At 39.1% G+C, this 26,909-nt stretch overlaps 1 protein-coding gene and 1 pseudogene across 1 annotated transcript; both read right to left on the bottom strand.

Moving 5' to 3' along the window:
* OR8F1P (olfactory receptor family 8 subfamily F member 1 pseudogene) lies at positions 296 to 1,258 on the bottom strand (annotated as a pseudogene).
* OR10D3 (olfactory receptor family 10 subfamily D member 3) lies at positions 19,662 to 25,097 on the bottom strand. Its single transcript, NM_001355213.3, has 2 exons — positions 25,059 to 25,097; positions 19,662 to 23,183 (listed from the first exon to the last, which is right to left on the bottom strand). The coding sequence occupies exon 2, from the start codon at positions 23,170 to 23,172 to the stop codon at positions 22,234 to 22,236; it is 939 nt and encodes a 312-aa protein (NP_001342142.1). The 5' UTR covers positions 23,173 to 23,183; positions 25,059 to 25,097; the 3' UTR covers positions 19,662 to 22,233.
* Between the last annotated feature and the right edge of the window lie 1,812 nt (positions 25,098 to 26,909).

Here is a 26,909-nt window from a genome sequence, read left to right as displayed (position 1 = left end):
ACTTATAAAGTATAATCACACACGGAGGCTTATGAATTTTTTTTAAATGTTTAGAAGTGATACGTGTTACTCTGAGTGGATGAACTCTGTGGCATCCCATAAATGCTCCCAACATGTAACTGATCCTATGAATTCAGCCTTATCCTTGGCATCTTTCTTCCAAATAACCAAGTAGTAGCAGCCATCTCATTACTTGTGGACATACCTTACTGTCTCTAGATTGTTTCCTTATCAAACCTTTTCCAGAAATTAAAAGTTTTTGCTAAAGCAAAATACCCCCCTTCATAGGAAACTTCTTTTTTCAAGGAGCTTATTTAAGGCAACTTTCACAGGAAACTTCTTTTTTCAAGGAACTTAATTAAGGCAACTTTGACATCTTTATTCCTCAGGCTGTAGATTGGGGGTTCAGCATGGGCACAACAGTAGCATAAAACACAGAAGACACTCCCCTGGTCCATGGAGCTGACGGATGATGGCTGCAGGTACATGAATGCTGCAGACCCAAAGAAAACAGAAACAGCCGAGATGTGGGAGCTGCAAGTGCTGAAGGTTTTGGACCTGCCCTCAGTGGAGCGAATGCAGAGGATGCTGGCAACGATGAAGATGTAAGAGCTAAGGATGGTGAGGCTGCGGAAAAGGATATTAAATGCACTGAAGCACAAACTACTATTTCATTGATAGAAATACTGGAGCGGGAGAGCTCCAGTAGTGGGAAAAGATCACAGAAGTAATGGTTGATTACATCAGCCTTACAGAAAAGCACTCTTAGCATGCAGACTGTGTGAGCACGTAGCACCAATAAAGCCCATAAAATACACCTCAACTACCATCCAGGAGCAGACCTGATAAGACATGGCGACATGGTAAAGCAGTGGGTTACATATGGCAATGTAGTGGTCATAAGCCATTGCAGCCAACATGTGACATTCAGATATGACAAGAACAAGGAAGAAGTAGAGCTGAGTCATGCATGCTGGGTAGGAGATAATATTCCTCTCTGACACAAAATTCACCAGCATTTTTGGGGTAATGACAGAAGACTGGCAGAGATCAATGAAGGACAGACTGCTGAGGAAATGGTACATGGGGGTGTGCAGGTGAGAACTGAACCCTATTAGAGTGATCATGCTCAGGTTGCCCACCACTGTGACCACATAGATTCCCAGGAAGAGGAGGAAAAGAGGCAGCTGGAGCTCTGGTTTGTCTGTTAGCCCAGCGAGATTAAATTCAGTCACCGTGGAATGATTTCCTTTTACCATTTTCTCTGGAAATTTTATGTAGAAAGAGAAGAAGAAAATTTGAGTTAGGTATTCATTATCCCACTAACACGATAAAATGTGAAACAAAATTCAAGTTTTTCAACTAGGTAGTTGCAGTTCTCTGCCTGTTCCTCATGTTAGCAGTAAAAGACCCCAGGATCCCTGAAATATGGGATACACAGATACATCTCAGAACTTTCTCTATTTGTGTTCTATGCTATGAGAGTGGATATTGGTACTGCTCAATCCCTGAAAACCCAAAGAACTGTACTGATAACTTTGATTGAATGTTCTAAGGACTTCCCATGCCTTGTTGGTAATCCTCTTGACTCAGCAGAGCAAATGCTAATGTACCTATTTTACTATTAGGTAACTGAGGATGATAGCGGTTGGATATTTGCCCAAAATTAGGCATGTAATAAGTAAATAATCAAGGAGATAAAACCTGTTTCACCTTCTATTATTTTAGCTACTCATGACTTCCCTCCTACTTTTTTACCTCTTTTTTTCATATCAGTGAAGCCTCACTTACAACAATTAATGTGAAAGAAAAAATTCACATAAAGTGCTAACGATGATGTATCAGCACTGATCTAGACTAGATTCCCCTTAAGTGAGTACTTGGACTACTGGCACTGCTTCAAAAACATAGAAATTATGGCTCTAAAAAGTAACCGAATGGTTAGTACAAACTATTTGTACTTGACGTCCAAGAAGGACTTGAGGTTCCTAGTGAGGAGAATTCAGAGTAAGAAATAATAAATATGAAATTAATTCATTCCAGAAACACTGACGGGGTGCCCAGCATGTGCTAAGTACTCTGGCTTGACCTGATGTAGTCCATGGCCCTCTGGGCCTGTAGGAGGACCTGGACTGCAGAATGGCAATCTTGCATGATGCTTGGACTATAGTAACAGTGTGCACTTTGTCTTGGTATATTTTACACTCACCTTCAAACCAGAGTTTTTAACAGCACTTCCTCAGAGGCAAGAGAGACCAAAGCAGGAAAAAATATGGATATCTCTCTAGCTTCAGGACAAGAGTTTGGAAGAAAGCTAATTAAGGTCTGAGCACAGGACACTGTGATGACAGTTCTATGTTCAAAAGAAAGAGATCTGAAAGACAGCATAAGAGGTTTTTGAGGTATCAGCAAACAAAGGTATGAATATTTAGGTAAGGATGAAAGGTGGCCGGGTACTGTGGCTCATGCCTGTAAGCACTTTGGGAGGCCGAGGAGGGCGGATAACGAGGTCAGGAGATCGAGACCATCCTGGCCAACATGGTGAAATCCCGTCTCTTGTAAAAATACAAAAATTATCTGGGTATGGTGGCACATGCCTGTAATCCCAGCTATTCGGGAGGCTAAGGCAGGAGAATTGCTTCAACCAGGGAGTCGGAGGTTGCAGTGAGCCGGGATTGCGCCACTGCACTCCAGCCTGGTGAGAGAATGAGACTTTGTCTCAAAAAAAAAAGCGATATTTCTATTTATTTCATGTTTACCACATGCTTAGAACTGTTCAGGCACTTTCATGAATGTTAAACGATTTCTTTCCCCCACAGCACTATGGGGTACAAGAATATTATTCCCATTCTATAGATGCAAAAGCTACAATTCAGAGACGTTTATAATGTTTTTCAGGGTGACTCTGTGGCTTTTCAATATAGATGTCAAGGATGATTTTCTAGCAGTGCAGATGAAAAATCTGACTTAGCCGTGAGAAATAAAAGAAATAACACATCAGCTAGTATTTATATCTTCCGGAAATGCCGTCTTTCTGAAACCAAACCATGTACAAACACATACTAGATTCAAAGAACATAAGCACTGGAGAAAAATTATAAAGGTTATACTTGGCACTTACTGAGTAATTTTAATTAGACCAGAGTCCATATTTGTACTTATTACTTACACGTGCATAGATTGTTCAATAAGTGGTGTATGAATAAAGGGACTCAACTGGGTTCACAGCATGAAATAAGTAAAACCAAGAGCCTTTGTCTTTCCCAAATTGCCAGTTGCATGTAAACTCCTTTTAAGTGCATGGTGCCTTCCTATCACTAAAATGTCTGCTGTGGTTTCTATACTTACACTGCAGGTCATGTCTGAGAACAGGTAAACATAAAGTCAAAATGTAATATTCTTTGTAGTACTTTGCCTCACAGTACCAAGATATTTTCAGTGTAATACTAATGATTAATAGTAAAATGCTCTCAAGTTTTGTTACTGGCAGTTTTCACATGCTTACTACTTGGTTATTACTTAAATTAGAGTCATGTAAGAATGTGATAACATGGTGAAATTTTTTAATGGAATAGGAAATGGTTTTCTGCCACTTTCTTGTCAGCACTTTTTGTCTACAGCAGTAGAGTTCACTCATAATGGTGAAGCCCTCCTGGAGTAAGGTCTTACTTGTAATTTTTAAGTAATTTTTGGTTATCACAGTTTCAAACGTATGTATAGAATAGTGATAATTGGGGAGGGCAGAGCAAGATGGCAGAATAGAAAGCTCCACCCATCATCCCCCCAACAAGGACAGCAATTTAACAACTATCCGCACAGAAAAACCACCTTCATAAGAACCAAAAATCAGGTGAACACGCATAGCACCAGGTTTTAACTGCATATCTCTGAAAGAGGCACTGAAGAGAGAAATAAACAGTCTTGAATCATGGACACCACTCCTCCCCCACCCCCAGCAGCTGCAGCCTGGTCATGAGAGCATCTCTGGGCACTGGGGGAAGGAGAACACAGCAATTGTGAGGCATTGAACTCAGTGCTGTCCTGTTAGAGCAGAAAGGAAAGACGGACCAAACTCAGCTGATGTCTGCCCACAGAGGGAGCATTTAAACCAGCCCTAGCCAGAGGGGAACCTCCGATCCCAGCAGTCGGAACTTGAGCTCCAGCAAACCTTACCACTGCAGGCTACAGCGCTCTGTGTCTCCAGGCACACTTGAAGGCTATAAGAACTACAACTCTTAGGCAACACCCAGTGCTAAACTAGGCCCAGAGACAGTGGAACAGGGGGACGCATGACATACTGAGACACCAGCCAGGGCAGCCAAGAGAGTGCTGGCATCACCCCTCCCCTAACCTCAGGTTGCACAGCTAATGGCTCCAAAAGAGACCCCTTCCTTCCACCTGAGGAGAGGAAATGGAAGAGTGGGGAGGACTCTGTCTTGCATCTTGGATGTCACCTCAGCCATAGCAAGAGAGGGCACCCGTCAGAGAGGGGAAGCCTCTGTTCTAGGCCATAGCTCCCAGACAACATTTCTAGACACACACTGGGCCAGAAGGAAACCCATTGCATTAAAGGAAAGGACCCAGTCCTGGCAGCATTCATCACCTGCTAACTGAAGAGCCCTTGGGCCCTGAGTAACCAGCAGTGATACCCAGGTACTATATGGAGGGCCTTGAGCAGACATATACTTTAAAATGTTAAGATGTTTAAAATGTTTCTTGTGTGTCTTATCAGAGAAAAAAAATAAATTTAAAAAGTAGACATAGTTAAGGAGGACTGAAATGACAGTATAGTTGGAGATTGTCGGAAAATACCCAGCAGGTTTAAGTGAGGCAGCCAGTGATTTGCTACCTGACACCTCCTTTCTTCTGACTCCCCAGTTTGCCATCTCCTGCAAAGGCCAATCATCCCCAACTCTGAGTCAATTCTATACTTCATTAGAAAAGTTTATGGAAATCTAGAGTACAAATTTGTCAACTCCTGAACAACCCAAACTATTGCTGATTTTGCAAACCCAGAAATGATCGTTTCCCAGTTATCTTTTATAAAATCCCAGTTATTTATTTTAATATATCTCCCAATTTTACCTGTATTAAGAGAGCTCAGTTTCCATATCCTTCCATATTTCTGACTCTTTACGTTGGCCAGTTGACTATTTTTTTCTGTGTTCCTTGACTCTCACAAGTCTGTTCAACCAACTACTAGACACCATCATAGAAGCTCCATGACCTCGTGTCCAATCTTTGTAACTTTGACAGCAGGACAGCAGCTGTGGGGCTCTGATTGATTGCATGTGAACAGTTTCCACTGAAGTCTGACTCTGATACGTGCTCTTAATGCCTACTGCTTCCTGTTCTGCCCTGTTAACAACACCTCTGTGTTTGAATGTCCATGATCATTACTTGTGGAGAACTTCCAAACAACCTGGTCTGCATCAGTAGCCTTAGCCTATCTGTATCTGAGCCATCTTAGAGATGAAGCAAAATACCAAAACAGTTTAAGGGGAAGAAAGGATATTTTTGTTTTTAAACCATTTTACTGAAGTAGAATTGATACATAACCACATATTTAAATGTGTATAATTCGATGAGTTTGGACATATGTAAACATCCTTGATGCCATCACCACAATCGAGGTAACTGACATATTCATTACTTCCCCAAGTTTTCTTGTGTCCATTTATGTTGTTTGTTTTTGTAGTAAGAATACTTAAGATGAGATGTACCCTGTTAACAAATTTTGAAGTCCATTGTGTTAACTATACACACTATGTTGTATGGCAGATCTTTAGAACATATTCATCTAGCATAACTGAAAATTTATACTCAGTGAACAACTCCCTGTTTCTCCCTCCTCTTAGCTCCTGGAAACCGTTATTGGATTCTCTGCTTCTATGAGTTTGACTATTATAGATACCTCATATAAATGGAGATATGCAGCATTTGTCCTGCTGTGATGGGTTTATTTCACTTAGCAGACCACAACAACTAGAAATCAATAAAAGAAAATGAAAATTTCCCAAATTCTTGGAAAATAAACAACATGCATCTACATAATTTATAGGTTAAAGAAGTTTTAAGACAAACAAAAACATATTTTAAACTAAATGAAAACTAAAATACAACTTACAAAAATTTGTGGAATGTAGTAGTGCTTAAAGGGAAATTTAGAAGATTAAAAAATAAATTAGATAAGAAAGATCTAAAATTAATAAACTATGCTTATACCTTAGAATCCACAGAAGCAAGAGACAAGTAAATATTTTTTAAAAGCATAGAAAAATAATAACAATTTAGAGCAGAATTTTAAAAACTGAAAATAGGAAAACAATAAAACCCAACAAAATCAAAATTACTTATTTTTAAAGGTGAATAAAATTGATAAATCTCTAGCCAGGAAAACCAAGAACAAAAGAGGTTAAAACTAAGACAATAAAAATAAAATATGAACTTTAGCTAATAATAAGGTTTCAACATTGGTTCATTGGTTGTGACAAATATTCCATTGTAATATTAACTTGAAACATTTAAACTGGGTACAAGGAAAAATTGGGTGCAAGGTATATGGGAAATCTCTATAATATTTTTGCAACTTTTCTATACATTTAAAATTATTCTAAAATGAGAAGTTAATTTAATACAAAAACTTCTTTCTCCGCCCCCAACAACAACAAAAAAAAACCCTAGAAAATTTTGTGCATTTTGTTTGCCTTCACATCTTTTAGATCTCCTCATGTTTCAGACTCTAATTTTTCTTTTAATTGCACTACAGTTTCATGGCTTCCATCTCTTGATTTCAATTTTTTGCATCTGAACAGTGTCTAAAAGTCACTACTACTTTCTAGGCCCTCAAGCATGATAGGGAGCTAACAAATCAATAACCTCATCTTGGGGGATGAGGCTAATAGAAGTTTTTTACTTACAGAATGACTCTCATGCTTTTTCTGTGGCCACTATTTTATTAGAATCACCTTACTAATTGTAATCCAAGACATTTGTTTCCTATATATGTAAAAAAATTTAGAAAAAAATCAACGTGACGGTAGAGAAACGAGAAAAGTTCCCTTGTCCCCCTCGAAGGGCGTGCGATGGGATGTGGCTTGCTTCTTCAGTGCCCCGCTGCTCAAACCTCTAGGGGAGCATACAGACAGGCAGGCTGTGGGGCTCCAACCCACGGCAGTGTCTAGGGGTGAATGTTTACAGCTCCTGAAGCCCCAGTGGGCGCGTTACAGGGCGTTCTTTTCGTTTTGCCGTCTATAGGCGGCTTGTGTTAACCAGCTCAATTAGACCCTCTACCTTGTCTTAAGGGCAGAGGGATTTCTGTATCCCAGGTTCTTGCCTTGATGTACTCGAAGAATCTGATCACACCTGGGCTTGGAGAATGAGTGCAAGGTTTTATTGAGTGGAAGTAGCTCTCAGCAGATGGGGGAGCCAGAAGGGGATGGAGTGGGAAGGTCTTCCCCTGGAGTCAGGCCGCTCAGTGGCCTGGGCTTTCCTCCAACTGCCCCCGCCAAACTGTGTCGTTCTGCTTCTGCCGGTCGGTGGCCTGCTGGCATGCTGGTGCCTGTCGGTGTGCGCCTCTCGACGTCCAGCCGCCTGTGTGTCTGCCTGGTACGGTCTTAGTGATTTTTTTTTTTTTTCTAGACGGAGTTTCACTCTGTCGCCAGGCTGGAGTGCAGTGGCAGAATCTCTATTCACTGCAGTCTCCACCTCCCCAGTTTAAGCGATTCCCCTGCCTCAGCCTCCCCAGTAGCTGGGACTACAGGCGCCCGCCACCTCGCCCGGCTAATTTTTTGTATTTTAGTAGAGATGGGGTTTCACCATGTTGGCCAGAATGGTCTCGATCTCCTGACCTCCTAATCCACCAGCCTTGGCCTCCCGAAGAGCTGGGATTAAGGCATGAGCCACTGCGCCCAGGCCAGGTCTTGGGGATTTTTATAGGCACAGTATGGGGGGTTGGCAGGCCAGGGTGATCTTGGGAAATGCAACATTTTGGCAGGAAAACAAGATCTCTGATAGATCTGTGGTTACATGTTTTTTACATGCACACACGTGCGTGTGTGCTTGCACGCGCCCCAAAACAAAGACAAAGGAAACTTTTGGAGGTGATTGTTACGTTTATTACCTTGATTATGGTGATGGAATCATATGTGTACACATGTCCTAACTTATTCAAATTGTATGGATAACGTGCAGTTTTTGTATATCAATTATACCTCAATAAAGCTAAAAACAGAAAAAGAGTAAGTTTCATACCTAACTTATTCCACATGGCTTTCAAAATATAATGTAATCTCATCCAAATCAAAGTCTTACCTACCTAATGTCACCAACTTCATCTCTTACTCTTATTCAGGAAAAATATTCTCCTCAGAACAGTCTCAATGTCCCTCAAACACACTGCTCCATTCCATATCCTGCTTATAATCATTCTACTCCACCTATTTAGAAGTACCATTTCTATTTGCCATTGATAGTAACCTCCTCCACATAGCCATCCCTGATTTCTAAAGCACATAATGGATGCTTGCATGACGTCATTCAAATTCTGACTCACTTGCACACTGTGTTGCATTGTTTACTCTTTTCTAAAAGGTTTTAGTGTAGTCTTGTAATTGACCTCCATAAGGACATGGACCATGACTTACAAATTCCTGTATCTTTTCAACACAAATCTCATTTTAGTTGCTTAATAGAAATTATTTGACTGAAGATTATATAATTCCTCTAAGTAGAGAGGTGAAAATGAAATAAAAAATAATTTAATTTTATACCAAGGATTCTCCCCTGTTCATATTGTGTATATTTCAATGAACAAATCTAATACTTTTCAGAGTCCTTATTCGTACTTATATGGAAGGAAAGTGCTGGGAAGGAAAGGGCATGATCCCTTTAAATGATATGGAACGGGGAAGGGACGTGGGATGGGAAGGGGAAGGGGGTGGTCCCTGGCTAGGGCTCTACTCCTGGGCCTGTGCCCATGGACCTGGGTGAGGACAGACATTTTTGTTTTGAGAAAAAGAGAGACCACCTTCACGTAACTTTTATTATAGTGTATAATTGTCCTATTTTATTATTAGCTGTTAATTTCTTGCTATTCCTAATTTTGAAATTAACTTTTATCATAGATATGTGTGTAGAGGAAAAAAACATAAAATATATAGGGTTTGGTACTATTCATGGTTTTGAGATTGGGTATTTCCCTTGACCCCTTCATGCGACTCATGAAGCGGTGACTCGTTTGCTCAACTGCCACCATCAATCCCTTACCGGAGGGAGCACACAAGCCAATGGGTGCAGGAACTGAAGTGAATGAATGCCGGAATAGGCTGGTCACTCCTCTCTGGCAGAAGCAGGCTGTGTGTGGGCCCTGTGGCAGCGTCCAAGCGTGTTACAATGCTCTTTTAGCTCTGCTGTCTGGGAGGGGGTGTCAACAAACCCCAGATCCCTAGAGGGCATGTGTTACAATCAGTGCTTTTAGTATTTGTCATTCACAGATGGCTAAGTGCTAACCAGCTCAGTGGAGGGTCAGGGTGACAGCCTTTTACACCCTGCCCTCTTGGTACCTGAGTTCTTGTCCAGCATCCAGGAAGAATCAGGTCACATGAATGAATTGAAGGGTGGTGTATGTGGAAAATTTTATAGAGTAGTGAAGGTGGCTCTCAGAGGGAAGGGGAGCTGGAAGGGGGATGGAGTGGGAAGATAATCTTCCCCTGGAGTCCCGCCTGGGGACAGTCAATCTCTTCTCTGAAGTCCCACCATCAAGCCTTCCCTCCAAAGTCAAGCTGCTTTTCTCCAAAGTCCAGCTGCTTCTTCTCTTCTCTCCTTCTCTGCCACTATGCTGTGCTTCTCTGCTAGAGGAGCTTGGGATTTTTATGGGTACAGGGTGTGGGGCAGAGCAGGACAGGGTGGTTTTGGAAAAAGCAACATTCCGGCGGGAAAATTGGGATGTGAAGTTCTCATTTAGGGCCATGAGTCCAGGCTTAAGGGTGGAACCCTCGCCAGAGACTCCACCCTTTCAACCCAGTATTCCCTGCCTCCTGTCTGTATCTGTTTTAGGTACCCACTGAGGGTCTTGGAATGTATTCCCCGAGGATCAGGGCAGATTACTATAGCTCGTAGAAGTATCTGCATTCCCAGGTTCATTGCAGAATTATTCACAGTAGCCAAGATACAGAAACAACCTAAGTGTTCATTGACAGATGGAGTTCCCTCCATTTACAGCAACATGGGTGAACCTGGAGTACACTATGCTAAGTGAAATCAGCCAAACAGAAAGACAAATACTGCATAATCTCCCTGATATGTGGAATCTAAAAAAATAAAAGTTGAACTCATGGTAACAGAGTAGAATGGTGGTTGCCAGGGACATGGGTCAGGGAAAGGGGAAGATATTGGCCAAAGGGTACAAACCTTCAGTTATAAGACAAACAAGTAATAGAGATCTAAAGTACAGCATCATGACTATAGCTAATAATAACGCATTTTATATCTTAAATTTGCCAAGAAAGCAGATTTCAAGTGTTCTCACTATATACAAAAAAATCTAACTATGTGAGGTGATGAATATGTTAATTATCTTGAGTTTGGTAATCATTTCACAATGTATGTGTATATAAAAACATCACATTGTATAACCTAAATATATGCAATTTTTATTTGTCAATCATACCGCAATAAAGCTGGTGAAAAAACAGAAATAAAACAGGTACAGAAATAAAAACATTTCATGATCTCACATATGTAGAATCTAAAAAACTGAATACACAGAAACAGAGTAGAAAGGTTGTTACTAGGGGCAGGACCAGGTTGGGGGAAGATGAGGAGATGTAGGTCAAAGGGTACAAAGTTGCAGTTATGTAGGATAAATAAGACTAATGTGCATATCACATATTTTATCCTGTAAATTTGCCAAGATGGTAGATTTCAGGTCCTTTTACACAAACAAAAGTAAATGTGAAGAAATGTTGATTTGCTTCACTGTAGTCATCATTTCACTGTGTTTACGTACAAGGATAACAAAACATGATGTTATACACCTGAAATATAGGCAATTAAAATTGTATGCCTATAAAATAAAATGTTTTTAAACCGACAAAGGAAAAAAAGATTATCTGTAAAGTTGCCATAATCAATGCAATGTGAAATTGACATAAGAATAGACAGATCAAAGAAATAGAAGAGAAAGTCCAAAGTAGCCCCACCCATCATTCTTCGACTGAAACCTCATAGCAGCTCAGTAGGAAAAGATGTCTCTTAAACAAATTATGCTGAAACAACTGAATATTCACATGGGGACAAAATGAACATCAATCTTTACTCCAGACCACAAACAAAAATTAATTTGAGATGGGTCATAGATACAGAGAAAATTAAGCTATAAAGCTTCTAGAAAAGAATACAAGAGACTATCTTTAAGACCTAGTAAGAGAAATGTACTATTTTGTTCTTTTAACTTAAATTATTCTATAATCCTTTTTCCATGCTGCTAAAATAATTTTGATAGCCAATAATAATGACCATATGTTTTATTAAGTCAACACATTATATTTTGCCTAATGTTATCCATATCTGAATATTTAAATGCCATTGTTCTTGCCATTTGAAATGAATTGGCATTACATATATTTTTCCTTTAGAATAATTTCTCAATATTAGACTCCTAGGGCCAAAGTATATAAACATATCAATTTATCTTATTTGTATTTAAAAGTTCCTTTTCTGAAGGATGTTACCAATGTGTTTTAAACTTCTGAATGAACCATGCTGCTTTATTCCTTTGTACTTTCACAAATCCTGCTCTTTTTCTTCCTCCATGACTTTTTTTTTTTTGCAGAGCTGACTTTTATTATCTGTTATAAAATTTAATATTTATTCCCTTATTGCATGTTTTTTTCTCATATCTCTCCCCATTTTGAGACAGGTATTCCTCTTAAGTGCTGTCATAAAATCCTGCGTGTTCATATATTGTTGCAATCATCACCTTCAGGGGTAGGGTAAATGCCTTGTTGGACTTGTAAATTCAACTCCTGTCACTATACAAAACATAGAATAGATAATAAATACTCCTGGAATGAACACATAAATCAATAAATGCTACCAGTAGTGTAAAAATGTTGTGGGGCTTCTGTAGCTTTGTTAATATATAGTTTGATTATTTACTATTTAATATTAGTTTGCTTATTCAGTAGATATAAAATGGTATCATCATGTCACATTGTATACTATATTTTTCAAAATTAATAGTCACATTAAGGATCTATATTTATTAGTTCAATTTTCTTTGCATTAATTGTAACTTATTTCATTACATGTTTGAAATGATCATGTTGATATGTTTCTACATGTTCGATTCAATTTTAAACCTACATGTAATTTTGTATACTATTGTTCGAAAAATTTTATATTTTGGAATATATTTTATATTTTGAAATATAAATTATATCTTCTCCATTATTTGATAATGTATGTATAGTTTATCTTCTTTTAATTGAGTCCCTTCAGCATATGTGAAGTATAACATACGTAGAAATTAGAAACACAGCCTGGAAAGTGCAATGTAATGTAAGGTGAAATATTACGGTATTTATCATCTAAAATTAGAATACAGAGGAAGCATAGCCTATGTCTTCTCACCAGTATCAAGTCAGACTTTTTGCAGGAGAATTTTGACAGATTTTGAAAACAATGAATTGCATCCCAGAGAGTGGAAACAGCCTATCCAAATATACCAAAGTTTGATATAGTTAGTTTTGGAAAAATGACAAATAATTTGGTGAGTTTAGAGTGTAAGGCCTGATGGGAAAAATGGACAAGGCCATGAGACTGGGCACTGAGATACAGACAGATTATAAAAATCATTGTATATCATATTAGAGTAGATTTTACTCTAAAGTTAGTAAGGAGACATAAAATATTTTAATGCATGGGAATTAACATGATCAGATCTACTCTGCGTGTAAATATCTATGCAGAGGTTGTCATTTCTTCCAAATTACCAATGAACTTGTAAAACAAATTTCCTCTTCTGTCCCTGCCCTTCCAAAAGCACACATCATGATTACCCCTAAAGCCAAGGAGAACTGGTCGTTCTGTGCTAAGGTTGGAGATGATCCTATGTCCATCAGGGGGCGATAGAGCACAGTTTGCAGAATACGGATTATCATGTGGCCTCCAGGCTGGCACAATTTGTTGTCCAGCTACTGACTTCTTAGACTGCATCACATAACTAACATGCTGCCAGAATCCTATCTGTAGAGCTAATATAGACTAAATAGGAGATAGGGACCATGGCTGTCATATTAGTGCAGGGACAGAGACCGGGGAAAAGATCAGAAGAACTAGGGATGATTTGAAGATTCTAGGAGAGCCTGCATGTCCTTCTTTTGGATCACAGCCAAAAAGGCAAGGAGAGGACAAAAGCAAGTTTCTCATTCTTGATCAGACCTCCCTTCCACCCTCCGGGACTTGCAATGGAGACTGTGCCCAGTGACTTGCTTTCAGTTTGGTAGGTTATGCGCTTAACATTCCCATGTTGTGATAGAGAGCTTGCCCAGAGGCACGGAGCCCAATGCAGTCACCCCTTTTCTCATATTACAGGAACATGAGACTCTAAAGAGGGAGGGGATTAAATCCTATTACTGGCATATCCGTCAAAGGGAAATTCCAAGTTTTTCAGCTCCTAGGTTGCTAAGAATCAAAACAAGAAAACATTCTTATGACCAGGAGTGGCAAATTCATATTCTCAGATTCATTACGAATTTACAATATACAATTCTAAAATCTAACATACCCTGTATGTTTACTACTTCCCTTTATCTAAATGCACAGCTATAACTAGAACTATATGAAAAATTATCAAAGATTGCTGTTCTCTAAAATGAAGCATACAGTTGAGACATATTGAGTATATATTGTCTTAGGGGTGACCTTTGTTCCCCAATTGTCACAACCACTATGGATCAGTTAGCAATAAATGTCTTGAGTTTTCATGTCATCATAAATGTAACTACTTATCAGAGTTTGTGAGTGTACTTCAAACTCTCATTACAAACTTGCTGAAACTGAACATCAGATCTACTACTGTAAGGTTGACTCTGGTCTTACTATTTCATATAAATTTCTAGATCTTTGTATTCTGTTTAGTTAAAAACTATGGTCATCCTATTTCACTTCACTCATACTGTTTTTTCTCAGATGGGTGGTATTTGTCAAGAGTATATGTACTTCCAAAGAAAATGAGATTTCAAAGGAGAAACATTTCTTTTAGCTTGGAGCATTAAGGAAAGCTTTGGCAAGAAAACAATGTTTGGATGGTGTCCTGAAAAATGAGCATAATTTGGTCCTATGGAGAACAACGAAACTGACATCCCAAACAGAGGCCACATGAAGACTAGGACTCAGAGTCATCAAAAGCAGGGAATATGTGAGAAATACACCAAAATTCAGGATCCACGATAGAGCACAATGTGAGAAACATGGCCTAACACGGCAACAGAATAGCTTAATTTAGGACTGAACTGGAGAATCCAGACCATGTTGTCAGCGTTGGTTTGGAAAATTACAAAGGAGTTTGAGTTGGCTTGTGGAGAAGTCAAAAATAAAAGAGAAATAGGAATAAAATTGGTGACAGAGATCAGAACCAGATGTTAAAAAGCTTCAAATGTTAAACTCAATATAGTCAGCCTTGACATCAATAGGAAATGGAAACATACCAAAGAAATTTTTAGCAAGAGAGCAAAATGATTTTGTCAATGTTTTATATGGCAAAACTGGCAGCAGTTAAAAAAACAAAGTGAAATTACAGAAATGAAATCATGATTGAGAAATATAAGCAATTAGGTTAGTTTTTTTCAGAAATATTTGTAACTAGATGACTGTGGTTTAAAATTTAAAAGAAAAAGGTATTGAAATGCCCTATTGAGGAACAGGGTTGACTACTCTCACCCGGGATTAATTATTTAAGGTGGCGGGACCAAAACAAAACCTAACTAGTCAGGCCCTTCCACTCTTGAGCTATACTCAAAAGAGAGCTTAACCTCAGTGAATCTGTTACGTATAAAGACTTCCTCCTTTGAGAAACTCTATTTCCCTCTTTCTCTCTCTCTCTTTAAAATGCAAAACAGAATTTATTTACATAATTGTTTGAATAGTTGTATTGCCTTTTACTTCATTATTTTTTAAAATGATAAGACATCTCACAATCTTGCATTTATTTGCTTTCTTTTTAAAATTTTTAGCTTTTTTATTTCAATAGGTTTTTGGAGAACAGGTGGTGTTTGGTTACATGAGTAAGTTCTTTAGTGGTGATTTCTGAGAGTGCTGATGGGTGATGACGGGTGCACCCATCACCCGAGCAGTGTACACTGTATCCAGTGTGTAGTCTTTTATCCCTCACCACCCCCTACCCTGAGTCCCCAAAGTCCAATTCATTGTTCTTATGCCTTTGCATCCTGATAGCTTAGCTCCCACATATGAATGAGAACATGTGATGTTTGATTTTCCATTCTTGAGTCACTTCACTTAGAATAATAGTCTCCAATTCCATCCAGGTTACTGCGAATGCCATTATTTCATTTATTTTTATGGGGCTGAGTAGTATTTCATGATATATATATGTTATATATATTATATATATTATATATAATAATTATAATATATAAAATATATATAATATATAATATAGTAGTATATTCCATTGTATATATACAATAGTGTATACTGTATATACACCATTTCACGGTGTGTGTGTGTGTGTGTGTATATGTGTGTGTATATATATATATATAACCTTTTCTTTATTCACTTGTTGATTGATGATATACTTTCTTATGTAATTTTCACAACGGTTCCATGAGATAAGTAGAATTACTCTCATAATTTTCCCCATAACAAAGCAGACTTAGATCCAGGTATTTTTCTTCATAATATCTAAGATTTATCCGGAGACCCTGCCCATGAGCTCAAGGAGAAATGAACAGTGTATGGGTCACAACTAAGAATCATGAAGTGAATAATTTCATTAGATGAAGTTTTGGGGGAAGGATCAAGTCCTGAAGTATGCAGCAAACTTCCCACAGAAGTAAGCAAAGCTACAGAACAGATCTGATGAAAGAGGTGGAGAGCAGCCATCACTGGGTGGTGTCATGGAATCTAGGAGGAAAGAGCCTTCGTGTTTATTTATTTGGAGGATGCTAGAAAGAACAATTTTGACAGAGTGGACTGGGAAATAAACCAGTAGATCTGAGGATTCAGACCACTGATGGGAGAGGTTTGGTAGTTTAAAGAAGCTCTGTGATAATGATCATTGGATCTGTGAGCAGATGACTTTGAGATTTTCAGTACCCTCCTGGTCATGTGTCTTATGAGCATAAGTGTCAACCATATCTTGCTGACTATGAGACTTTCCACTTGATAAAACTGAGCATCTCTTTATCTGATCCTCTGTGGGGATTATCATGAGTTGGGAATGTGTTTTAAAAGAGATGCTCGATTTTCCTGTGGCTTATGCTTCAGTGTCTACTATCACTAATACATAAGTAGGTTAGCATGCACAGGGGCTTAGCATGATTCATTTAAGTTTGGAAAATTAAGAGCCCATGTTATGTATGATCTTAAACATATAACAAGTAGTATGTAACAAAATATAACATGATTCACTCACATTTGCAAAAAGTTTAAGTGGTATAATTCACATAATGTAGGGCAGAGAAACTAGAGTTCTGATCCAGTCTTAGTCCTGCCATGAGGTTGCTGCATGCGCTCCAATAATGCAGGAGAAAGAGTCCTTGGTGGTAAATGGCTGAGTTGGTACAACCTACATCTGATGGTGCAGAGGTCAGTGGGTGTTAAGTGTTAGGTACTTCCCACAGGGGTAGAAGAGAGCAGATTCCTCTCCATTCTGTTGGTGGAGTGCTCTGCCCACTCTATTCTTGGCACTGGCTGGACTTGCAAATGCTCTTGGCTGAGCTAAGTCATAACCAGCCTCCACACTTTTATTGAATCTTCATTGCCAAGTTCTCCTTTGATTCATAGAGAAGTAAAGTGTCCACATAATTTATTTTACACATCAGAACACTTTTTAGAGTGTTAACACTATTAAAAATCATGTATAAACTATCCTGGCAAATCTGAATATATGGCCTTTTCTACAAAGGGCACTTCATGATAAGAAACTCGTTCATGATTAGGCTCCATTCTACCATCTCCTTCTCTCTTCCTGCTTTCTCCTGTCTTTCACTTCCGCCTCCAATCATCTTTTATTATAACAATATCGTTCTCCCTGGAAATAGTGTGCTTGGTACATACCCATGCTTCCACAAGATGTCCCCTGCTTTCTGATTCCGCACTTTCTAACCCTCTGTCTGATGTTTATTCACACTCCCCTCCATGCATCCCTCATAGCCTGGCTCACATCCCACCTTTCCTGCAAAGCCTTCCCAAACAGCCTAGGCAGAAATAATTGGTCACTTCTCCATGCTCTCATTGCTTCTCAGAATTTATGATGCTGATGTAATGAAATTATTAAAAGAAAGATCACTGGAGACTGTGAGAATTGGAGAAGGAAGAAGGAAACACTAAAAGCAGCTCAATAGTCAAAGACAGATTTATGATGGAGAATAAACTTGAGAGGGGTTTCTGGCCAAGTTAGGTCAGGAGCACTCTCTCTTACAGACTAAGAGTATTTAAGGGTTTAGGGCAGAGAGCTTATCACAGGCTCAGAATGTTTCTATGTCTCTTTGTCTTGCTTATCTGGGAGGGAGAGTTTTTGTGTCTGTTCCTGTACATCTTCCTGCAGCTGCAGGCTTACCCCCCAGAGTCTGCTTTTAGCTTCCCTATCTTAGTGCACCTAAAGAGAAAGGAATGTGCTTATTAGGGCCCACTGTTTTACTGGGGCCCATTGTATGAGTGTAAATTTGGTGGTTACCCAAGAGACTTTCCCCCCTCCCTCTGTGCCCAAGCTGTCTTATCTGTGTTTTACTGTCTGCTCTTTCTGGCTGCTTGTTGTTAGAAGAGAAGTGATTTCCTTGAAATACATGAGGTTAGAAAGGGAGCTGGAACTTAAAATGGTGGTGTTTGTCCAAGATGACGGTGTTCCTGCTCTGTGAGAGACAGCCTGCAAGACATCCTAGCTTTGTGACTTACTAGCTGGAAACATTTCTTAACTTCTGTGTGTCTCAGTTTTCTCCTGTATAAAATGAGATAATAGGATTATGGTGAGGACCGCATGAGTTAATGTAGGTAAAGTAAAGCGCTTGAGAGTAATACCTAGCACGCGGTAAGCCCTAAGAAAGTGTGTCCTGCTGTTATTATCACAGTTTATTATGGACCATCTATTCTGTATGATTCTAAAAACAGATGGTGGACTCCTTCAGGGCAGGGATCTTACCCATCTTTATCAATTTAGCATAACAATAGTATCTGCTGCAAAACAGGAATTTAATAAATACCGACTGAATTACTTCTCTAGCATGTCTATGGGAAAGAGATTTGAGGATATCTGTGCCGATCTTTGGCCAAATCGACGTAGAGAAAAACGTTTAGATAGATAGATAGATAGACAGACAGACAGACAGATATAGATATACATATACACTTGCTCGTCTGCCTTCTTACTTCTCCTGCCAATCATAAATATCTTTCTCGAGCTAGATAGTATCTCATTTCTATTACTTCCCAGGAAATTTGCTTTTGAAAACAGAATGTGGGATTTGAGAGGAAATTCATTCTTAAATGGCAGAATTTCAGGCATGAAAATATATTTTGAAATCAGTGCTCTAACTGCCCTGATGGAGCAGCCTCCTTCATGGAAACGTTCAGGTTGACTCGCTGTGTGCATGTTGAGCTCCTCTCCATAGTGAGAATGTTAGCGAGATCCCTGGTCTGGATCCTCTTTAGGGAATGCTGGATGCTGTATTGTTCCCATCATAGACTGTCATGCCTCAGGTCTCCCAGGGCCTCCCAAACTGAGGGTTCAGAGAAGAAATTCTTGAATAAAGTGAATAAACACATCTTGTAAATGGTTTGTTTTGTTAAAGATGTAAATATTCCTGAAATAAAAGTTGTTTTTACTTTAAGAATGTTTGGGAGCAGAAGGGATGGGAGAAATCCTTGGAGGTGCTAGACCTGGCTTTTCTTTGTGAAACTAATTATTTATCTTCTAAAGCGAACAGCTCAACTGAAAAGAGGAAAAAAAATGTCCACTGCCATGGAAAATGTTGTTTCTTATTAAGAAAGGAGGAGGAGAGAAAAATTAAAGCATAGACTGCTACCTCACAGTCTCTGTTAAGCAAGTTAGAACAGCAGAAAACATACAAGAGCTTTTCTGCTCTTACTGTGAATGATCTCAAACAGGTTTGTATAGGAAGTACAGCTTTAGAGTATATTGGAAGAACTATGGTAGATAGGTGTTTTAACTCTGGTAATAGCAAGCTACTAATTAACGATTCATTATTAAGAAACTTTAAAAATAACTGAAATCTCAAAGGATTCTACGTTTGAGAATGGAATCAAAACAGTTATGTAAGTTGTGATTAATATCAGATATAGTTAAATCAGTAATAGAAAATAGATTTTGTAACAGTGGATCAGCATTCCTTTAAAAACGGATGTGACATTTTGTCTTTATTTGTTCACTTTGTCTTATAATGTTAATAAGAAACACATATACCAGAGAAAAGGGAAAATGCAGTCCCATTATTACCATTCCTCTGGAATGTTGAGTTACATCTGAAACCATTTTGGGGCCAGGGAGGGGCTCTGAGATCTTTTGTTAGATTTTCCCTTGGCCAATAACAGAGCCTTTGAGATGTCTCTATGAATCCTTAGAAGGCGAATTCAACAAGCTAAATGAAATCAATACTGGGGCTCAGAGAGAGGATTGTGAGCTGCTGGATCAAGGATCATTGCCCAGATCGGGTGAGAAATCAGTAACTGAAAATCAACAGCCATCTCCTTACATTGGTCAGGAAACTTCCTAACGAGAGAAGTGGAGCACAGGTGACAGAAGAAGGCATATGGTGGGTGTTTGGAGACAGAGCTTTCTTTCAAGCTGTTGCTGATTTTTGTATTCTCAGTCATCTCTCCTCCTTCCAGCAATCCTCAGTGATACAAAGATTCCAGTGCCTTCATCTATGGCTCTTGTCTGTTTTTTACTGGAAGAAGACATGAAGATGTGGCACTTCTGATTCCTGTGTGGCCCTTCTTTTTTGAGTCTCCGTTGCTGTGTCCCTCTTCGTATGCCTAATCGTTTCTCACCCTGGCCTCTGCTGCAGTGAGATGCCTTGCCCACTTGAGGCCTCTGCCATCTACGTTCTGGAGTTAAGCCCACCATTGACTCCCTTGGTTACCATTTCCTTCATAAGAGTGGGAGAAAATATCTTTATCTTGGATGTAAGATGCTTCTTGGGCTGGCATGGATGAAGTCAACTGCTCCCTCTTGGTTTCTTATCTCTTCTTAGTTGGAAAGATTTTTAAGCATTTTGGAAGCAGTTTCTTAGTGTTTAAGCGTAAAAGCCTTGCATTCATATCCTGGGCCTCTCACAGTAAAATGGGAACAATAGCACAAATATCAAAGATTGTTTTGAGGATTAAATGAGATAGTTTTACACAGCATTTATGATAATATCTGACAAATAATCAGGGCTCTATAAAAGATAATCTTCATACTACTGAACCAAAGACAGAAATTTAAGGCACAAATGAGTGAAGAGGCTACTAAGACAATTATATACTTGACAGTTCCAAGGATACAGAGAATTCTGGCAGGAAGCTTTGCAATTCGGGTGTCATGCTTAGGAGTTTTTGAAAAGGGATAAAAAGGAGAATATGAAGCTGAATTTATTTTTGTTACATCACAGTGGATTGGGAAGCTTTCTAGTTGGAATTTTAATAACACGGTGCTTAGTATTTTGGTAAGAGGTGTAAAGAGGTAAAATTATGTGTACCCTAGGCAGTTAATACAACGAATCCAGGAAAATGCTGAGTGTCTCTGTCTTCTGTGGGATTTCAGATCTAATCAGTGGCTCCACAAAGCTTCTGTGTAGCTGTTTTTGAGCCAAAGTAGATAACTTTGATGCACATCAAAAAATGAGGATGTTGCATGAGGCCAAATGTAAGTATAAATATTTTATTTACAATTTTTTTTGGAAGAGCAGAATTGTTTGGTAGGTAATGAAATGATCCTTGAAGCTTTACCAAGTCTAGCAAGCTCAAATGAATATCCAAGAGGTAAGGGTGAGGTTCAGGTGTTAAAGAAAAGGCAGAAACACCTTTAAAGTTATGGGTAGAAACAAAAGATACACATCATAGTTTTTAATCTTACAAGGTACCCCAGAGATCAAAAAGTCCAGAAGCTTTCAAACTTTCTCCAGTAGAATCTTACCTAGAAATCTAATACATATGATAACTAAACAGAAAGTTCTCACTAAGTATATTTAACATGGAAATCTCAGGATAAATTCACTGGAGTCTCGGGGCTCCTTGAATCAAGTTTGGAAAGCCATTGGCCCAAGCCATTAGCCTGACCTGATAAAGCTACTAAATTGTTACCACACTACTTGCCACACTAATAGCTGGTAGCAAGATGGAAACAGACCCAAATCTAATATACTAGACACAATGCTTTTTACTTTCCTTAGGCAGTGAGGCTAACCCAATCTGCCTAAAAATGTTTAGACAGAGCAATCAGGTATGGGGTCAGACATGGGATGAACATCCTTGCTGACAAATTCTAAGTTATTCCCTTTCCAGATATTTGGGGAGGAAAAAAAAACACTGCATCTTGACTCTAGTCCTTAGTCTGTTAATATATTTTTAAAATTATATTATTCTCTCAATCAGTTATTTAAAATCTCTTTTCTTTTTATTGCCTTTCCCTATAGGTTTGTCTCACAAATAGTATGAGGGGAGTAAATTGAGAAAAGTGATGCAAAAAAAAAAAAAAATGGCAGGATGGAAAAGATCTTCCTTCCAGGGACAGGCAATTCTCTATAGAAGAAAGGCAAAGTAACAATAAACAAGACTATATGACTTTGAAGATAGGTGAAGAGGCAGAACCTAGACAATAAAATAAAATATTGCAAAAAGATAATGTATTATATATAGCATAATGGTCCATATCATTCAGCACAGTGCTGAAAATTCCAAGTCATTGTCACATATGAAGATTCCAGAATGAAATTTCTTAGGTCAAAGCAAAAGGAATTCCAGAGCCATGCACCCATTTATCTGCTCTTACTAACTCTCAGGAACATGGCCTGTCCTGTGCAATATTGTTTTCAGGGCTGTTTTTACTTCCTTATTCCTCAAGGTATAGATCAAAGGGTTCAGCATTGGTCCTACCAGATTCATGAGAATTTGTACCACGGTTCCCAGCATGGGGTTGGGTGTGGGCTGCAGGTAGACAGTGATGATGGGCCCATAGGCACAGAGGATGGCAATGAGGTGAGCACTGCAGGTGGAGAAGGCACGGCGACGGCCCTCAGTTGTACGAATGCTTAAGATAGATATTGTGATTCTAGTGTAGGATAAAAGAATTAGCAGAAAGCAGACAAGAGATATGAGGCCAACGTTGGTGAAGCTCACCCTCTGGGCTAAGGATGTGTCAGCACAGGCCAAGGGCAACAGTGCTGGAATGTCACAGAAGAAGTGATCCACTTCATTGGGACCACAGTATGGCAAGGTGAAGGTGAGGGAGGTCAAGATACTGGAATGAATGCACCCTAACAGCCATGTGCCCACAGCCAGGGCCACACAGATCCTTGGGTTCATGATGACTGTGTATCGCAGAGGATAACAGATGGCAGTGAAGCGGTCATAGGCCATCACCGTAAACAAGAAGCACTCAATGCTCCCGAGGAAATGGAAGAAGAAAAGCTGGCAGACACAGTCTTTGTAGGAGATGAGTCGGCTCAGCCCCATAAGGTAGAGCAGCATTTTGGGACAAGTCACTGAGGAGAAACCCATGTCAAACACAGACAAGTTTCCCAGGAAGAAATACATAGGTGTGTGAAGGCGAGCAGAAGACATAACAGCAACAAGGATAGACACATTTCCCAGTAGAGTGCAGGCATAGAAGGGCAAGAATAAGACAAAAAGTGTCATCTCCAGCCCCTCTGTGTGTGGGATTCCCAAAAGGATGAACTCTGTCACCATGCAGCAGTTCTTCACCTCCATGGAAGCCAGTCCTAGGAAGGAAAGAGGAGGCTGAGGACATGGAAGAATGCCTTGGCTTGCTGTCAATCAAGTGAACATACTGGAGAAATAAAACTTGTCAATTAAGTGACTGTGATTTGCATCTAAGTTATGGAAAGGCTGCTTGTGATTCAAGTTACAAGGCATTATCCTTGGAATGTAACCGCCATAGCCAACTACATTTCTGTAGCAAATATTTTTGTTATACTTATTCGAAATACAAATGCCCATTATTAAAACAATATTCTGACCTTGTTAGAGCAAAGATTTTTAAAGAGAGGGCAGGATCCATCCAAACACATGCTCCTCCTCCCGGGGTAGAAGGATGTGAAATGTCAGGATTATTTGAGGGCTTTTTTATATCACTGGAGATATGAACCACAATTCGGGAATCATCATATTTGTAAGCCATTATTAGCAACAACGTTAGATTTTATGTCTACGTTTTTTAAGGGAATCATAAAGGTTGATCCCTGCTTTGCAGTTCAAAACACTTATACAACATGATCTCCGTTCATCTAATCCTGGCAGTCACTTTTTGAGGAGGTCTACAGAAAAGATTACATTTGAGCAGTAGGAAGGCTAGGTGACTCTCCTAAATTAAGGCAGCTAGTTCTTGGTAGAACTAGGCATCTACATTCTTTTTTTTTCTTTTTAAACATCAGTCTTTCCCCCGGGTCTGGATGGATCCATCTGTGATAGATCACGGCATTACTGGCCTTGTCAAATCTTACCCCGGTATTAACCATGTTTTTCATTTGGACATCACCAGGCTCTTAAAATGTTGTTCCTCCTCCTCCTTAGTAAGCAATGGAAAATCAATATATATCCAGCTACCTCCCCACACACACACAAATATAACATCTAGGAGAGTAAATATTTTTTGTGTTTACGATTATACTCTCAGTGCAAAGAACAGTGCCTTTTTCAATAAACGTTTGATGAAGGAAATAAGATAACTCACTCAATGCCTGGCAAGAATTGGATATCATTCCTCTTGTGCAAGGATCTGTGTGGTACTATCAGATAGTAATTTCTCCTCACAGTCTTCTAAAGCAACTTGATCATCTACCTGTTTCTCTTTTGCCCATTTCCTGTATATTTGGAATTTCTCTGTTTACAATCATGTCACCTGCACTCCAGAAGAAGCTCTACACTACATTCCAAAAAGCAATCAGACCCAAGACAAGTGCTACATATAATCTATACTGCTTCCAAAAATGTCCTGGCTGTCATACATCAAAGAAAGAATCAAATGAAGATATCCACATATGGGCTCATTTAGAGTTTCTGTTACTTTAATAATATAAAATCAAGTCCAAATTCCTGATTGTAAAGTGAAATAACAAGAATGGGGTTTGTGAGCTGATGGGCCAGCACAATGGGCTCAAAGATAAACCAAGCAAATAAGATCTATTCTTCTGGCCAGTAGATCCATGCTCTCTGTTCATTCTGAATTCTGAGAATACTTTGTAAACTGAGGACTCCAAATTTTCCTCTCCATTGGATACACAAAGCATAAAAGAGGAGTGAAAAAAGAGGTGAGGGCCCCTATAATTTCAGCTACTCTGGAGACTAAGGCAGGAGAATTGCTTGAACCCGGGAGGTGGAGGTTGCAGTGAGCTGAGATCGTGCCACTGCACTTCAGCCTGGCCAACAGAGTGAGACTCAGGGAGGGAGGGAGGGAGGGAAGGAGGGAAGGAGGGAAGGAGGCAGGGAGGGAGGGAGGGAAGGAAGGAAGGGGAAAGAAAGAAAAAAAAAGAAAGAGAAAAAAAGAGAAAGAAAGAGAAAGAGAGAGAAAGAGAGAGAGAAAGAGAGAGAGAAAGAAAGAGAGAGAAAGAGGCAAAGATGGCACTTATGTAACTTACAAAGAGAAAGTATGATCATTTAATCATCTGTTTGTATAGGATTTTTAGTCCAAATTTTCCTTTGGCATATTAGAGGTTAGGGATCTCCACCCATGATCTGGAATGCTTTCTTCTTAGCCAAATAAACTCTGACTAAATGACATGCAGCAGCGTGCGTCTCTGTCTTCTGCACAGACATCTTCCAAGACACTGATATCTACATTGCTTTCTCCTACGTGGAAATTTAAATATCTTTGGAGCCTTTGGGACCCCATTCCTGAATGAGTCCTATTCAAGGAGGTTGTTGAGCAAAGGGAGTAATTAGAAGTGAGTAAACTGTCTAGTTGAAATAGAATATGGTGATGTTTCCCACTGTGACAGTGCTGGATAGGAACAAGGGGGAGCCAAATCTCTATTTTCTACCTCTAAGATTGACCCTGGGAAAGGAGAAAAAAGGTGAATGGTATAGCCCAATCCTAGGACATATGTAGAAACCAGTTACCCAGTTTCAGGATACATTATCGGAATGAGAAATAACCTAACAACCATATATCTCAGACTTTTAAAAATATCCAATTTTAAATATTTTAATCTCAGTTTCTTCATAGTTCTTGCCATGAACTGAATTGTGTTCCTTCAAAAATTCGTGTTGAAACTCTTAACACACCCAATCCACGTAACTGTATTGGAAGTAGGGTCTTTAAGAAGGTGAATAAAGTTAAATGAGACCATAAGGATGAAGCCCTGATGCAATAGAACTGGTATCTTTGTAAAAGGAGAGACATCAGATCTCTCTCTCTGTCTCTTTCTCTCTCTCTCTCTGCCTGTCTTTTTCTCTCCCTTTATCTCTCCATGTGAGAACACAGCAAGAAGACAGCCCCATCTCTAAGCCCCAGAAACCAAACCCTGCTGCAAAACCTGTGCAACCTTGATCTTGAATTTTACAATCTGCAGAACTGCGAGAAAAAAAATTCCTGTTGTTTGTGTCACCTAGTATATTCTGTTTTGTTATGGCAGCCCTAGTGAACTAACATAGTTCTTCTACTTTTCAGACTATGGTTTCTAATATTTTGATATAGAAATAGAATTTCTTTTCCTAGACTCCAACAAACATTTGTCAATTGGCACAGCTGAATTTCCTGAACCAGAAATAGTTCTCCTGATGATATTCCCAGAATTATATCAAAGTATTATTCAACAAACATTAATTAATAACCTATACAACCAAGAATAAGACAAATTTCCTTAATCTTGACCTTCTCTTCTGTGAAAGGAGTCAAGAACCTTGCCCTTTGAGATTCCAGACATTTGTAATCTGGAAATTATTCCTCTTTCATGTAACGTAACAGTTACAGAGTTGTCAAAGAACTGAAAAATATGTAAAAACCTGAAATAATAAAGTAGAGAAAACAAAAGAAAAGAGGTCAGCAATGCTAAATTTGGCTCTTTGAAAAGACTAAGAAAATAGAAGTACTTCTTTAAAAATGATTCTTGAAAAAAGTGAGAAGGCACATATAAACATGAGGAATGAAAGGATGACAGAAGCACATGGATTAAGCAGAATGAAAAGAGATATTACAACATTTGCCAAGATATTCAAATGATTTGTCAAAATAATTTATCAAATGCTTATTAATTTGTGAAAACTGACTAAAAATAGAAAATATGAAGAGTCGTATGTAAAAGTTTCTATTGCTTACTGCATAACCAATTACTCCAAACTTTTGTGGCTTAGAGGCATTTATTATCTCATGCTTTCTGTGACTCAGAAATCCAAGCACACCTTAACTCAATTCCTCTGGATCAGGGTCTCTCATGAAGTTACAGTCAAGCTACCAGCTGGGGCTGTGGTCTCCTCTGAAGGTTTGACTG

Source organism: Homo sapiens, chromosome 11 (assembly GCF_000001405.40).
Source record: "Homo sapiens chromosome 11, GRCh38.p14 Primary Assembly".
Taxonomy (NCBI): domain Eukaryota; kingdom Metazoa; phylum Chordata; class Mammalia; order Primates; family Hominidae; genus Homo; species Homo sapiens.
Note: the sequence above shows the minus strand (reverse complement) of the source record. Positions and strands in the feature narration are given on the sequence as shown.

Excerpts from the sequence above, each read along its gene's own strand:
- OR10D3 (NM_001355213.3), bottom strand. The coding sequence starts at position 23,172 with ATGGAGGTGAAGAACTGCTGCATGGTGACAGAGTTCATCCTTTTGGGA.